We start from the raw sequence: 16,329 nt of genomic DNA on the forward strand, positions 1-16,329 counted from the left end.
GGATTACAGGCATGCGCCACCATGCCCGACTAATTTTTGTAATTTTTTTTTAGTAGAGACAGGGTTTCTCCATGTTGGTCAGGCTGGTCTCAAACTCCTGACCTCAGGTGATCCGCCCACCTCGGCCTCCCAAAGTGCTGGGATTACAGGTGTGAGCCACCACACCCGGCCAGTGCTCTGTACTTTTTCTCCTTTTTAGGATATTTAGTTACAATTAAAATAAATGAGTTACTATGTATTATTTGCATAGCATCCCTTTTCTCTTCCAAGTTCTAGAAAGTCAGAACCTACTTGTGGCACTCACCTCCGTGTCCCCAGTGCCCAGCACAGCATGACACAGAATGGGTGCTCAGTAAATATTTACCAAGCTGTTCAATGGATTCATGGTTTCAGTTCTTTCTCCTATTACCCAAAATCATCATGTCATCTTCATCTCAAAGTTGTTATGAAGAATAACTTAGATAAAATACATAAGCACTGGGCGCATGGTAGGCATTCAGTAATTGTTAAGTCATTATTATAATTGAGAAAAACAACAGACACTAAGCACCTACTTTGAAACAGACCTTATGCTAAGTGCTGTGCAAAAAGGGACAATCAAAAGTGCCAAGAAATTGCATCTTTCAAAAGCTGTATGGATTTGAGGACCCCATTGTCACTGCCTCCCCCTGCTCACTCCCCAAAGAGCCTCAGCAAACTCCAGTATTCACTCACAATCATCTGTCCCCCTGGCCACACCCCAGGCAGCCAGCCCCGGAACCACTAAGCCTGGTCTTCCTTTCCACCACCACCAGATGGCAGCACAAAGCCCACGGATGGACAACGCCCCGTGCAGGAGGGCTGCTGTCTCAAGCACAGGTCTGGCCTTGGTCGGCTGTTTGGGAGTTACACTTAATGCTTTGGGATTGGTCCCTTCCTTTCCACTTCCAAGCCTCAGACCCCATCCCCTCACCCTAGAGTCACTTCACACCTGCAAGGTCCTCATTCACAATCCTTCGCAGAGTACCTGGAGTGCCTTCCTTTAGCCTCCATTCCATTACTGATCCCCGGGTTGCTTTTCATGAAGGTGTCAAATCCCTTGTCTGGCCCTTGAGGTGTCTCCCCATCGCAGCTCGCCTCACTCTTTGCTGCACCCCAGCAATGGCCTACCAGTCACCTCCTGTTCTCTGTCTTTGCTCACATCATTCCCTGCCTGTTATGTCCACACATGCATGCTCACCCTTGCTGCCCCTCCTCTTCTCTCACCAACTTGAAAGCCCAGCGGAGGCTCTCCTGCAGAAGTCTTGGCGCTGGAAACCAGATGATGGCTCACTCTTCTATGTGCCCCATCACCACTTCCTTTCTTGGTCAGCGCTCAAAGGGTTTCAGGTTCTAGGTGACCTGGTTGCATGATGCTTCATCAACAATCTTCAGGTGTTTCCTGTCACCCCAGCCAGGGAGTGCAAGAACGGGTTTTTCTCTTAAAACAGAAACTGAGCACTGCAGACTAGCAGGGGTGGGTTAGCCATGCAGAGTTAGAAAGAGCAATCAGCACTTGGAAAACATGGCAGGAGACAACAGGGAAGGCGAAGGGAGTTGCGTACAAGTAATTCATTATGACTGGAGCTCAGTGTGCAAGCAATAAAAGAGAAGTGTATGGAGAGGGTAGCAGGGACCAGATCTTACAAGGTCTAGAAGGCTCTGCCAACGTTATTTGGACTTTACTTTGGAGGTAGGGGAAACTTAAAGGATTTTAAGCCAGAGAGGTGACATGACTGGATTTTTCTATTAAGGAAGATCACTCTGGCTGCTGTGGGGGATGGACTGCTGAGGGGGCAATGACTGCAGGGGTAGGGAGACCACCTGCCGGGAAGCTGTTGCAGTGGTCCAGACAGAGAAGATGTGGGTATGAACTGAAAAGAGATACTGCAGGGATGGAGTCAGTAGGCTAAACAAGCCCTGTAGACCTGTTGAGTCTGAGGGGTCCATGGGATACCTGAGTGGGGAGTGCAGTGGGATTTGGATGTTCCTGCCTGGAGCTTGGGAGATAGGCCTGGGCTGGATCTAGAAGTCTGTACGGATGAGGCCTCTGAGATGTATGAGATTATGCAGGGGGTAGGGGTGCATGTAGAAGAGAAGAGAGAAAAGTGGGAACATTTAAAAGCCTAAAGACAAGGAGGAGCCAGAAAAGGAAATGGAGAAGGTACAGCCATAGATAGAGGAGGAATCAGGGGAGAGTGATGTCTTGGAAGCCACAGATGAAGGCTGGCTCAAAGGCAGCTGAGAGGTCAGGCAAGAAGAGACTGAATGTGTCATTTGGAGGAAGCAACACGGAGGTCACAGTCTCAGTGGAGCCATGTTGGGCAGAGGCGGAGCTCCATGGGTTGAGTGAGTGGGCAATGAGGAGGCAGGAACGGGCTTATAGGTACTCTTTGAAGACATTTGATTGTAAATAAAATGATGAAATTAGGTGGTAGGTGAAGGGAATGTAGGATTAAACAAGGTTTTATTTGTTTAAGGTTTTTCATTTGTTTTAACATGGAAGAAACTTATGGAGAGAAATAGATACAAAATGAGTAGTTGAAGATGCAGGAAAATAAGGAGAGAGAATTCCTGGAGGGCAGAAGTAAGAAGGGATTCAGAGCACAGGTGGAGGGGCCATGCTCAGATAAGACCTGGGACACTTCTTTATTTTTATTTTATTTTTTGAGATGGAGTTTTGCTCTCGTTGCCCAGGCTGGAGCGCAATGGTGCAATCTTGGCTCACTGCAACCTCCACCTTCCAGGCTCAAGCGATTCTCCTATCTCAGCCTCCCAAGCAGCTGGGATTACAGGAGCCCACCATCATGCCAGACTAATTTTTGTATTTTTAGTAGAGATGGGGTTTCACCATGTTGGCCGGGCTGGTCTTGGACTCCTGACCTCAGGTGAGCCACCTGCCTCGGCCTCCCAAAGTGCTGGGATTACAGGTGTCAGCCACCTCGCCTGGCCCAGACCTGGGACACTTCTTTGATGGTAGGAGGTGAGAATGGATTGGGATTGGCTTTGGCTGAGAGTACAGAGGCTGGCTGAGGTTAGGGTCCTCAGGCACCTGGAACTGAAAGGTCTTCACTAAGACAGACCGAACTCTGCCCAGATCCTGGTGAAAAGGAAGGACGTGGCAGTACTTCCTCTCCTTGTGGCTATGGGATTTTCCCTATTGGGACCCCTAGACTGGGTAAAGGAGTGAAAAGGCCACCATGTTATTGATGCAGGGTGGGACTGTGCTGGTGAGGGAGCAGGAAGGGGGTTGCTGGAGTTGGAAATCTTGCAAGAAAGTACTTAAAGCAATGCCTAAGGGTTCTGGGCTACTGGACTGGTGGGAGTGCTGACAGCAGGACACTGATAGGCTGGGGAGAGAAGACAGTGCTCAAGGGTGGAAGGTATCAAAAACATGCCAGAGACCATGCATATGGGATTCAGAAGCAAGAAACTTGAAGGCAGAGAGGTGAGAGTGGGATGTTTGAGTTTAAAATTCCCAAGGAGTGCAAGTCCCGTCAAAGTTCAGGATGTGGCCTTGAGTGGGGTCCCCAAGCAGAGTCAGGGTGTAGGAGCCTGGAGAGGAAAAGGTCAAAGGTTTTGGTCCCCAGGATTCTGGATGTCAGGGTGATAACTGAATTTGAGGGGAAGCCTGGGAGCCAGGTGCCAAGGCCTTTGATGGCTGAGGAGGGAATGGGTGGGCAGCTCTGAGAGGGGGTCTTGTCGTGTTCTAGATAATGAAAGATGAGCAGGGGATGCCTCAAAAGGCCACTGGATGTAATCCAGCCCTAGGCCAGCTGGACTTGGGTGACTTGCCTGAGGACAGGCAGCAAAAAAGTGGCTGAGACAAAATAAAAATTAACTTTATGTCTGTAATCACTTACTCTTCCAACCCTTATGGACTGCCGGTCTGTACAGATGTTCTGGTTCACTAAAAGCTTGGTTGACAAGACTTTTTATTCTCCTGAATTTGTAGTACATATTCACCATGTGACCTTGGGAAATGCATGTCATATTCTACCAGCCTCAGTTTCCCCCTCTGAATGCCAAGAGGCTGACCAGAGTGGCAAGTTTTCAGCCTTGTCAGGTGGACCCCAGCGATTCAGTGAAAGAGGCTAAAGGTACCTGGGTGGTGTTGCAGAGCTGGGGGGTGGGAAGATTACAGGGAATCTGCAGGGGATCAGTTCCTGGCCCCACCTTGGTCTCCAGCTGAGCAGCTACCCTTGAATCTGCCAGAATTCTAGACTTCTGCATGAGATTTTGTTTGGAAAGAGGATTCTGCTGCCTAAAACTGTGAAAAATCATGATCTTGCCTAGCCCTGACACTGCGTGAGCCTGTTGCCTTCCTGTACTGGAGGGTGTATCCTTGGCAGTGTGTCCCTTCTGCTTGCCCCAGTCAATTTTAATGCCTAAGCACTTGGCAGGAACATGGGTAGTGCCAGGACCTCTGTAATGCACTTGGCAATGAGCTGATGCTCTTTAGTGGTAGTTGTGACGCCTCTCAGAAATCTGACTTTACTAAAGTGGTATTGATGGGCCAAGGGCTTGGGTGCTCCTCAGTGACCTTGATGATGAATTACATCTGGGATCCAGTGAGTGGAACAGACAGGTTCTTTAGCTGAGGAACAAAGCCCAGGCCTGTTCTTCATCACTTAGCACCAGCTGGGATCCCTTGTTGCCAGGCTGGCAGCTGTGAGGGATCACTTGGCCACCAGGAAGACTTCCCAGCTGGGACTGTTCTGAAGATTTGTGCCAGAGAAACTACATCTGTGAGTCACTGCTCAGGGGAAAACCCAGCTGCTCGGCTCAGCTCCAGCCCCAGTGGCCCCGGGGAAGGACCAGAAGGCAGAGCGAGAATAAAAGATAGGCTGCTTTGCTTTTCTCAGTTTCCATAGCAGGTTACCGTATTTGCAGTTCTTCATTTCATGAGGGAAGTTGAGAGTGGGACTGGAATCAAAAGAGGTACTCAGATGGTGAAGCCCATAGCTGTTGGGTGTGGAGGTTTTGGCTAAGCCACCAGGGATACTTCTCTGACCCTCTGGATCCTTACTTTGACTCATCGCCCTTTTTTTTTTTTTTTTTCTGATCCACAGGTGGCTACAGCCAGGTTCATAGTCTGGCACATGGCATTTTCTGGACAGTGAGAATCAGGAAATGGGGGTGAATCTTAGAGTGGGTCTGATGAATCGTGGGAAAATCTCTCAACATTGAGACAGAGATACTGGAAGGAGCTTGAGATTTGTTTTATAAGAAGAGGGATTCTTGGTGTCATGGCTGTCTTCTCAGAAGGGAAGATCGGTCAGGTGTGGGCCTGAAAACCATGGGTGTTAAAGGGCTGACCCTGGAACAGTCCCTGCAAGGATAGGGGTGGACCATCAGGACAATGATGGGAAAGTGCTGGTGTTTGGGATGTCACTTCCCACAAATTGACAATCACTGCAGAGGCCAAGAAGCCTCCCACTGGGTTTGGGGGGTCAGTATCTCTTCAATTAAACTAAGGCAAATTCTTAGCTGCCAAGGAGGCCAGGTGACTTTGGGTTCTAGTCTCAGATGAGTCCTAGTGGGCTAGAAGCCTGCTTTGCTCTGCTTGACACAGACCAGACATGATGGGTAGGACTTAGTTCCACAGTGGATGTGGGGAGTCCTGTGAGCTGGTGGGAGTGTGTCTGGAGCGTGCCTAGAATCATGGGGCCTGCATGGTAAAGGTCCTGCAACCAAGCCAAAATGGGGATGCTTATGGGGCTGGGGATGTTTAGCCTAGAAAAGGGCATAGGAGGCTAGTGTTTTTTGAATCCCTGTTGCTCTAGATGACAGAACTGAGGCCAATAGATGGAGATAATAGGAAGAAAAATTGTGACTCACCAGAGATAAAGCTAGCTGATATTTTAAGACAGTAAAGTCTAATGGTTAAGATCTTGGACTCTAGAGTAGAGTCACAATGGGCACCACCCTGAATCCTGCTCACAGATGTGGGTCTGCAACCCACTTGGTGTTGGCCTGCTCTGCCCTGGGATTTAAAAAACTTGCATCAGTCATCAGCACAAATTGGGAGATTATGCTTACAAATCTATATGGATAGCCTCTTTTTAAAAATCGGAGGATCTGATCACCCAAGTTCCTACTCTCTCATGTAACAATAAATGGTACGTGGGTGGCAGCTGCCTCTTCTGAATAAAGCAGATGCACTGTGGTTTTTCACAAGTGCTACTTCCTCCACCTTTCTTACATTTGCACAGTTTCGCTGATTCCCAGGTGTCTGCAGGTATTGTAGTTTGCAACCCTTTTCTAGTTAAGAACCCAGGGTTTGTAACCTGGCTTTGCCAATTTTAAGTTATTGTGACCTTAAAGAAAGGAGTCAATTTCTCTAAGCCACAGTTTCCTTATCTGAATATGAGAATAATAATAATACTTACCATGAGTTAAAGAACTCCTGGAAAATGGCTGGCAAGGAGGGAAGCACACCATGAGCGCTCACCAACTCTTAGCTGGTGAAATGCTGTCCAACAGTGGAGGAGGTAGCCTTGGGAGCTCTATCACCAATGCTGGGCCTGCAGAGGGGCTGCATGACCTGGTGGTAGCCAGGACTACAGAGGAGGGACAGCCACCAAGAACTCTGAAATAAGTGGGCCATGCAGCAGTACTCCTTGGGCCCTTCCCAATGACCAAGTCAAAGGTGTTGGTGTAGAGCTTCTCTTGATGCTCATTAAAATCAAATTTGAGGCCAGGTGTGGTAGCTCATGTCTGTAATCCCAGTGCTTTGGGAGACCAAGGCAGGCAGATTGCTTGAGCCCAGGAGTTTGAGACCAGCTTGTGCAACATGGCAAAACCCTGTCTCCACAAAAAAACAAACAAACAAACAAAAAAAAACCCCAAAAAAACAACAACCAAAAAAACCCCAAATTAGCCAGGCATGGTGGTCCATGCCTGTATTCCCAGCTTCTTGGGAGGCTGAGGTGGGAGGATTACCTGAGCCCAGGGAGGTCGAGACTGCAGTGAACCGTGATGGCACTTCTGCACTCCAGTGTGGGCAACACACTGTCTCAAAAATAAGTAAAATATTTTGTGTCTCAAAAATAAGTAAAATAAAATAAAAATAAAATAAAATTAGATTTGATCTGGAAAGAAATTTTGTAGAAAAGAATGTGTCACCTGGAGTAACCTACATCCAGAGTAACCTACATCCACTTGGGAGGCTGCAGTGTGCTCAGAGTGAGTTGGAGTTCCAGCCCTAGCTGATGGTGGGTGGGAGCATTCCCCTGCCCCTTCCTGCTCTGCTGCAGGGCTCCTTGGAGCTCACTGGCAGCATGTCCTCCCTTGGTAGCTGGATAGGCCCTTCAGTAGGCTCTGCAGGCTGAGCAGCCATGGGAGACAGCTAAACCCATACCCATACTTTGGCTCTGTGACAGAGTGGTCCAGCACTTCAGGACCTGCCTGGGTCCTGGGTCTGCCCCTGGGTGGGGCCTGGGTGGTATGGGTTCCCTTCGGGTGGTCTGGACTCAGCCTGATGAGACAGCCTTTGGTGGCTGGTTTCCATTGGCCCCTGAGAAGCCCTCTGCTGGAGCGGCATGGAGTGACTGAGAGAGTCAGTTCTGTGTCTTGAACTGTCATGTATTTTCTGGTTCTGGAAGCAGAATCTGCTTTATGTGCTTGAGATGCTGAGCCAAGGGCAGACACATCCTTATTCTCAGAGAGCCACTACAGGAGGGGAAGCAGGGGTCTACTGGCCGTGAGCACAGCAGTACATGCCGCATGTCTGCCAGACAGGCTGGGAAAAAGCTTGGGGGAGAGGGAGGGCTCACCAGGCCTGGAGGCTGCAGGAAGCCAGCCTCCTGGCCTCTGAGGATGGTGCTATGACACCAGTGCTGAGGACTGGTGGGTGCAGTGGGGTGAGTTGAATGAGCTGGGAATTCATGCTCTGAATCTATTTCCCCTGCTGCTTCTCCACTCCTCTATTCTCCCTCCCCTCTCCTCTTCGGCATTCACTGTAGCCTTGATACTTAAAATATCATCACAGCCAGTGAGCAGCTGTCAATGACCGGTCCCCTTACCTCAGCACTAGGTGGTGCTTGTATCTCCCTTCTGGCTGGCTGAGGAAGCTGGGCAGCAGGAGGCAGATGCTGGTTCAGAGCCCCTCTTCTTGCAGAATCATTAGGCAAAGCTCCCAGCAGCCTGACTTATGCAGATGTCAGAGCTCAGGCTTTGGTTCTTGTGCTTGAGCTAATTGGCATCTTTGGAGAAGCTTTTCAGCCTCTGGCCTGTGGGCACCTGTCCCTGAGGGGTGGCCCATCATTCAGCCTTGGTCTTTGCATTAGGCCTGTATAGCTACCGAGTTTTCACCCCAAGCCATGTCTGATGGCCTTTGGCTGGAATCTGGGATGGTAGAAAGCTGTTGAGACAGTTGAGTCTAAATTAAATATTAGATCTGGGTGGGTTTCACATATTTCATAGCATAACTTTGTTGGGATATTTATTTGCTCTTCTCCTGGTTCTCGCAATTTAATAATTGAGTAAAATCCGTTTTGACATTCAGCACTGATTTGCTTACATTCTGCTGAAGTGCACCTGCTCTGTGAGAGAGTGGGTGTGTGTCAGGAGGCTGGGAGAAGTGGGGGCAGACAACAGAAGCTTCAAATGAGAGACATGGCTTGGGCACTGACTTTATATGTGAAAATGTGATTCAGCCTTAAACTTGTGGGTCGCTTGCTAGATGACAAGCGCTAGATCAGACTCCAGTGGGAGAGTAAAATCATGGAAGATACCGTCTTCTTCCAGGAAGCTTGTGTTGGGGAAATAACGTCAAACACAACAACACCAGCTAAAGAGCAGAGTGCAAAGACAGGTGGCTCTCCCCTAATTCCACTGCACATACACTCACAATCAGATACACATATGTACACATTAGGTCAAACCTGTGAAGACCAAACCAGGCTCTGGGTTTTGGGATTGGGGTCATCAAGACCTACAAGTAAAATCTCCTCTTTTCAAATCTGCATTTCCTTATAGCAAAATGGTGGGAGCATAGGCCCTGGAGCCAGGGGCCTGCCTGAGAATCTGGTTCCCTCCATACTAGCTGTTTATGCTTAGACATGCCACTTAACCTGTCTGTGCTTCAGTTTCCTCATCTGTAAAATGGGAATTTCAGTGTCTATTTCACAAGTTTGCTGAGAGGTTTAAAGAAGTTAAAACATGTATGCGCTTCAAACAGTGTCTGGCACATGGGCAGTGCTCAGTAGCTATGACTATTGTTCCAAAGATCTGACCACTTTTCACTGCTTGCAGAGGTAAACGGTAGATGTTCAGACCATAAGGGAAAAACAGAGGCCCATTTTTAAGATGAGAAAGTGGGACAAGTAATAGAATATCTGCCTGGTTTCAGGAGAGGAGAGGGTCCTGGAAACTTGGTTCTTCTTACACAGCTGCTGAGCCCCAACTGAATTCAATTCATCAAAAGTATAATGAGGATCTGCTGTGCACAAGGTATGTAAGTGTGGTGGGGAAACAGGTGCTTCAAGTATGGAGCCCATCCTCTACCTCAGGAGGTGGAACAGACAGATAAAAACAAGGAGTAGAACATGATAAATATCACAAATACTCAGGAAGACCCTAAGTTGTAAGAAGAGAGGAAAGTCCTTTTGAGTGTTGGAGAAGAAGATATCAGGGACAGCATACATCAGAACAGAAAGGCAGAAAAGCTTGGCATATATTTGAGAACAGGACAGAGTCTATTTTGGTTGGAGGAAGCTTGGGTGAGAAAGGGTGTTGGGCTATCACTGGAAAGTGTGGGATGCAAAGGCAGGGTGAGTTGGCACTTCATCAACAGATAATGGAAGGCCACTGAAGGCTTTCTGAACAGGAGTAGAATCTTTTTATATTTTAAAACTAGTAGACTACAGTAAGTGAGGAAGATGGAGGGATGAAAGACGACAACTTTTGTTCATTTGTTTGTTTGTTTTGCCTGGGTGACTATCTGCATGATGGTATCTGCTAGAGATAGGGAAGTCAGAAGAAAGGGCCAAATCACTGGAGAAAGAAAATGCTTTACTTGGACAGTCTGGATGGGAAGTTCCAGTGAGTCATCCTGGTGGCAATGACTGGCAGATTGTTGGAAATGGAGGAGCTAAAGCGAGAGAGGCTAAGAATAGAGATATGGATTTGGGAGTTAGTGGCAAATAGAGTTAAACTATGGGAATGTATATGATGGCCTGAGAAGAAATTATAGGAGAAGTAAGAAGGACTAAGGGCTGAGCCTGGGAGACAGGACATGGAGGGGAAAGGCAGCTGAGAGGAGCCTTGAAGAAGACTGAAGAGGAATAATTGCTACTGAGGAGAAGCAAGGCAGTTCAGTGTGATGGATGCCAAAAGATGGAGAAGTCAAGGAGGTAAGACCCAAGGAAAGGCTACTTTTGGGCTGCTGGTGACCTGGAAGAGCCATCTGCATAGAGTTCTGGGATGGGCAGAGTGAGAGAGCATGGTAGAGCAAAGGGTTGTGGGAAGACCTGAGAGGCTTTGTAGAATTAAGGGAAGAGATGAGATACCAAGCGCATTCAGTCCTGCCTATCTTCCTAATGCATGAATTAAGATCAGAAAAGAGAACTAGAGAAAGAGGCTAGATGGCTGCGAGAAGCCAGAATATTAAGAAGTTGGTCCAGGTGAGGTGGCTCACGCCTGTAATCCCAGCACTTTGGGAAGCCGAGGCGGGCAGATCACAAACTCACGAGTTGGAGACCAGCCTGGCTAACATGGTGAAACTCTGTCTCTACTAAAAATACAAAAATTAGCTGGACGTGGTGGCGGGCTCCTGTAATCCCAGCTACTCGTGAGGCTGAGGCAGGAGAATCATTTGAACCTGGGAGGTGGAGGTTGGAGTGTGCCAAGATGGTGCCATTGCATTCCAGCCTGGGTGACAGGGCGAGATACTGTCTCAAAAAAAAAAAAAAAAAAAAAAAGAAAGAAAGAAAAAAGAAAAAAAGAAATTGGTATTAGTAGCAGAAATGCGGAGTGTGAGAGGGTGTATATAAATGGATCAGTAAGAAAACAAAGATTGAGACTGTTTATAAAATAGAATTGCCTGATTATGAACCAAATATGAGTCAGTTAAAATATGTCAATATAAAACATTTATTCTTAAGGAAAACAATTTAGACAATATCAAATATATTTAAAATGTTGGGTAGGCAATGGTTATGAAGGAGGAGAAGCACGCACTTCTCCAACTGCACCATCACTAGCCACACGACTTCCTGTGAGTTATGACCCCTCTGCTTCACATTCTCATCGTATAATGGGGATAGTAACACTTTTCAAGGTTTTTGCATTGTTGTAAGGACTGAGTGAGCTATTGAGGAATCTGAATGCAAAGGAGTTATTATCCCAGTGCCTTGTGCATTGTGAGTAGGTGCTGAGTAAGTATTAACTATCATCACTATTAGCTTTTCTCGGCTGTCGGTAGTGCAGTCTTGGAGGGAACAGTTTGGCATTCTGGGCCCTGAGATTTAGCTGGATGGATGCTCAAATACTTGCATTGAGTGGATAAATGCAACTGAAGTAGAAGTGAAAGATCGTGTGTGACTAAACAAAAGAGAAAAGGGAAGAGAAAGGAGAGGTTTAGTGCATTTGTGAGTGTGTGTGTGTGTGTGTGTGTGTGTGTGTGTGTGTGTAGGGAGGGAAGATGGTAATAATGCTAGGAGAAAGGCAGCATTTCATGACTGGCAGAAATGGGTTCCATGGTACCACTGCATGGTCGACTTAAATACAGGAAACCCTGCAACTTGTGGTTTCACAATTCTCAGTTGTGAACATTGGTGCTCTTTATGAAACCCTTCAGTCAAAACTGCAAATATACAGTCCAGAACCACAGATTTCTTTAATTTTGACTTTGTAGCTAAGTCATCCTAATCAGGGACTCTCTATCCTACCCACACCCAAACTCAGTAAACACAAAGAATACTGAGAATATCAGACCAAAATATTTGGTGTACAGTTCGGATTCATGTTCTGTCTTCTCCAAGTCTCAATTTTCTTCTCTGTGATGATCGCCTAATGTCTACCTTTTTGAATGTCTATGGAGATGTATTTAAGTACTTGGTAACCTGGAATGTGCTAAATAGAGGTTATCTTTTTTTTTTTTGAGATGGAGTCTCGCTCTGTCACCCAGGCTGGAGTGCAATGGCACTATGTTGGCTCACTGCAACCTCTGCCTCCCGGGTTCAAGTGATTCTCCTGCCTCAGCCTCCCAAGTAGCTGGGATTATAGGCACCCACCATCATGCCTGGCTAATTTTTGTATTTTTGTAGAGATGGAATTTCACCATGACCAAGCTGGTCTTAAACTCCTGACCTCAGGTGATTCACTTGCCTTGGCCTCCCAAAGTGCTGGGATTACAGGTGTGAGCCATGGTGCCCGGCCAGAGGTTATCTTTTTATACTAGTTTTCTTTAATATTTTATTTTGGATTTGTTCTATGTGAATTCACCTGAAGGTGATTTGAACCTGTTTACATTGTAATCTGTAACACATTTTGGGCAATAAACTTCATATGCTGACTACTTAGCTCCTTTCATTCATTTTAAATTTACTTCCCAAGTGTTCAGCTTCAGGGAATGCTCTTCAGGAACAACGTCCCTGGATCTGGTGATCAAGTGGATCACCAGAACCTCACCCAGAACCTCACCCAGAACCTTTGATCTCATTTTTCATTTTCTCCCAGTCTGAGGAGGCCCTGACTCTGCCCAGTGAAGCTGCTCTCTCTCTGGCAATGCCCATCCCATCAGCCATGATGTGAGCGTTCTTGAGCTCTGCCCTGTGCATGAGGTTTGTCCAGCTGGGGGAGGGAACTAGAGTCAACACTGTTTCCCAGATGTAGGCAATATGGTTGCTGCTCTGGCACGGTAATCTGTAGGTTCTATGGGACATTTTTAAATCCCAGCCTGCTTTCTCTTTAACTAGCTTCTCTTCCTATCCCTTTAAAGCTTTAAAAATTACCCCAAATGTCTGCGAGTAGCCTCCACACAATCCAATATATTTGATGCATTACAAAGTCCTTAAACATGACTCCTGGATGATCTTTTCTTTATCTACCCTCCATTAACAGAAATGACATAGAACTGCTTATGTGTATTTACATGGATCTCTCTCACCTCCTCCCTCACCTCCCACCCCACCTCACCCCCCACCCCCAAATACTGAAGTGTTAATGGGGATAGTGCATTGTTTAAGCTGTCACAATGTGTGATCAAGACAGACTGAAAGTCCTCTAAACCTTCAATAGTAATTCCATTCTCCAGGAGAGATGGAAAATTCTTGCATGCAGGAGATATTAGTTGCTCTGTTTCAGTCTGAATTGTGCACAGAGTTTCCTGGGCTACTGTAAGGTGGAGTAATCCCAGATTGCCGGGGCTGTTCCATGCATCCCATGGGATAATGTGTAATGATCAGTAACCTGTAAAGTGCTGAATTAAGGTTATCCTTTTATCCTAGTTTCCTTTAATAATATATTTTGAATTTGTAGCATGTGAATTAATCTAATGTCTTGTAAATGGGTGGATTTCTGGTGTGTCCTGATCTTTCTCGATCTGCCTGGAGTCAATCAACATTCAGGAGTGAGGAGTGGGATGAAGAATGGAGATTCTAGAACCAATATCTAAAAATATGTATGGAGGTGGGGGCAGGGAGGGAGTTCTTGGGAGGCTACCAGGAGGATTCTTGCTTCCATATTCATTTATCCATAAATCATTTGTTGGGGGCTGTGTTGTTTGGTGGCCTCTGTGGCTGAGCCATGAGGTAAAGCTGATGACAAAGATTTCACTCTGCCAGTCTTCTTGCTCTCTGAAGAAAGGCATCCCCTCTTCCCTTGGGAGGCCCACCCTCTGCCTCTTAGCTCAGCACTCAGTTTGAGACTAGGCTGTCTGAGCTGTCTCATTCCGTTTGTGATCATGTGCCATTCCGACTTCCTCTATTTCCTCTTCTTTATTTACTATTCTGTAGTCTTCCCCACGCTTTCAAAACTGAAGGAATGGTCGAGTTGCCATGGCAACCCTCTGCCCCCACCTCTTTTTCCTTTCTCAACAATTTTTCTACATTTTAATAAAATTACTATTTATAGTGCACAAAGCTGCATTCCCCTCCACTGCAGCTCTGCAAGGGAGGTTTTCTGTCTGACCAGAATACTAATAACTAAAACATGGCTTTCCAGTGAGGAAGTGAGGAAGCCCTCCAGAGCAATCACTTTGGGAGACATATGTGTTCTTTAGGATATTGTTTAAGATGTATGAAGGGCTTGGCCTGCATATATGAAGAACCTCAGTTGACAGGGCTGAAACCCCATCCTTGTAAAATATACCATATAAATGTTGAATATGGCATTCCGGGCACTTTGGGAGGCTGAGGCGGGTGGATCACTTGAGGTCAGGAGTCCAAGACCAGCCTGGGCAACATGGTGAAACCCCATCTCTACTAAAAATACAAAAAAATTTAGCTGGGCGCAGTGGCGTGTCCCTGTAATCCCAGCTACTTGGGAGGCTGAGGCAGGAGAATTGCTTGAGCCTGGGAGGCGGAGAGTACAGTGAGTTGAGATTGCTCCATTGCACTCCAGCCTGGGTGATAGAGTAAGAGCCTGGGTGACAGAGCAAGATTCTGTCTCAAAAACAAAAACAAACATAGAACTGATCTTTTAGGGTTGTTTTAAGGATCCAATAAATTAATATAGACAAGGACTTAAAAGAGTGTCTGTCGTCATTTGTTATAGGCATTTGAATTATTATTTTAGTAGCTTATTAACATCCATGAAGACTATTCCAAATGTGAGGTTTTACCAAGGTTTTATAGCTGTTGAGGGATAGGCCCGGTGGAGGAGGTTAGGAGGGGTTATTTTGTATGGAATGAAACATTTAGACTACATTGAAGAGTAGAATGAAGGAGTAGCTTTTAAATTCTTAGTGTTCAATAATGAAAATATTCATTCTTTATCATGTTTTGGGACTTTCTAAAAACAAATTTTATATAGGAGCAAGGCAGATTATTTTAGCTTAATTTGAACTTACATTGTTTATTCATTCAAAGGGCTCACAGGTGGAAAATCTCTGAGTGAGGTTACACAGTAATGATCTGGTAGTAGTGCTACTTAAACTTTCATGTGCATATAAATCACCTGGGAAGTTTATTACACTTCAGATTCTAATTCAGTGAGTTGGGGGTGGAGCCTGAGATTCTACATTTCTATCAAGCTCTTAGATGCTGCTGCTGCTGCTGGTCCCTGAGGACCATTGAGTAGCAAGGTTTAAGGTTTTTGGGGCCAGCTCTTCCTAAAGACACTTTTTAAACAAAGGTGTGGGTTGAGTGGAAGGGGCTCTCCAATTTCTTAGTTATTACCCAATTGGAATTACCCAATACTAATAGAACTGGGCCCTCATGAGAGAATGAGGTTAAGAATCACCAGTGGAAGCCAGAAGACTTCTTTTTTCTGAGATTTTAACAAGAGAAGTCAGGAAAGGCTATATACTTTTTTTATTTTTATTTTTATTATTTTGGCCAGAAAGCTCAGAGGTGCCTGACTGCATTGTATTCAGGCTCTACTCTTGCTTTATAAGTCAAATGTGATTACTCACTTAATTTTGTTCTTGAAACATTTTTAGAACCCAGTAAAACTCATCATTTTCCTGAATGAGAGTTAAGGCTTTTTTTTTTGGGTGGTGATTTATTCAGAATATTTTGAAGACATGATTGTGGGACTAAGATCCAAGTGAAACTGAGCCAAAAGAAGACGTAATTATTAAAACATTAACTTGAAATTTTAACTCCTGTTTGAAAGCATTGCTTCCCTCTCTAAATGTCTGTCAATATCTTATTTAAGTCTTTTTTTTTAAACAAAGCAAAACAAAACCTTTGACATGTTTTTAAGAACTAACAATAATGGTGATATACAACAGCTGCAGTCTCACTTCCGAATGGAGGAATTAAAGGCTCATGTTAGAAGATGAGAGGTTTAGCTACTTTATAGGCTTAATCAGCCAGTGACTCACAATTACGAGTCATGTGATTTAAAAATCTCAGTGACTGTGAGCTTCTCTTTGGAGGACTGGGCAAACTGTGAAGAAATATGTGAAATTAGAGAAAGAAATGTGAAGTAGACTTCCTCTTTAAATTCTGGATTAGCCATGACTCAAAGAGCATGGTAGGACATCTGTATATGCTCATTTTATTAGAAAGGCCATCACAATTGGATTTAGACTTCTATTCGTGTAATCCATCTTCTTTTTGCAGGCAGGATTATCTCTAGGCTAGTACTGAAAAATTGTCACTTCTATTAGATTATTAAGCAAGGTCTGTATCATCTCTC

General features: G+C 45.7%; 1 protein-coding gene across 2 annotated transcripts in view, besides 3 other annotated features; it reads right to left on the bottom strand.

Moving 5' to 3' along the window:
- The window catches only part of KCNA2 (potassium voltage-gated channel subfamily A member 2), a 37,861-nt gene extending 36,570 nt beyond the window's left edge, over nucleotides 1-1,291 (bottom strand). Inside the window, exon 1 of one of the 2 annotated variants that reach the window (NM_001204269.2) lies at nucleotides 1,246-1,291. The gene's annotated coding sequence lies outside the window, so the exon portion shown is untranslated. Of the gene's footprint in view, nucleotides 1-1,219 lie in introns of both variants that reach the window. The other variant, XM_011541398.3, reaches the window with a different exon arrangement.
- Nucleotides 1,153-1,292: an enhancer, noted in NCBI's record as "active region_1472". NCBI's record gives its function as "activates an Ori minimal core promoter by ATAC-STARR-seq in GM12878 lymphoblastoid cells {active_cell/tissue: GM12878}" and the evidence as "EXISTENCE:reporter gene assay evidence [ECO:0000049][PMID:35858748]".
- Nucleotides 1,673-1,722: an enhancer, noted in NCBI's record as "active region_1473". NCBI's record gives its function as "activates an Ori minimal core promoter by ATAC-STARR-seq in GM12878 lymphoblastoid cells {active_cell/tissue: GM12878}" and the evidence as "EXISTENCE:reporter gene assay evidence [ECO:0000049][PMID:35858748]".
- Nucleotides 4,584-4,773: an enhancer, noted in NCBI's record as "active region_1474". NCBI's record gives its function as "activates an Ori minimal core promoter by ATAC-STARR-seq in GM12878 lymphoblastoid cells {active_cell/tissue: GM12878}" and the evidence as "EXISTENCE:reporter gene assay evidence [ECO:0000049][PMID:35858748]".

The sequence above is a fragment of the Homo sapiens genome, chromosome 1 (genome assembly GCF_000001405.40).
Source record: "Homo sapiens chromosome 1, GRCh38.p14 Primary Assembly".
Taxonomy (NCBI): Eukaryota; Metazoa; Chordata; class Mammalia; order Primates; family Hominidae; genus Homo; species Homo sapiens.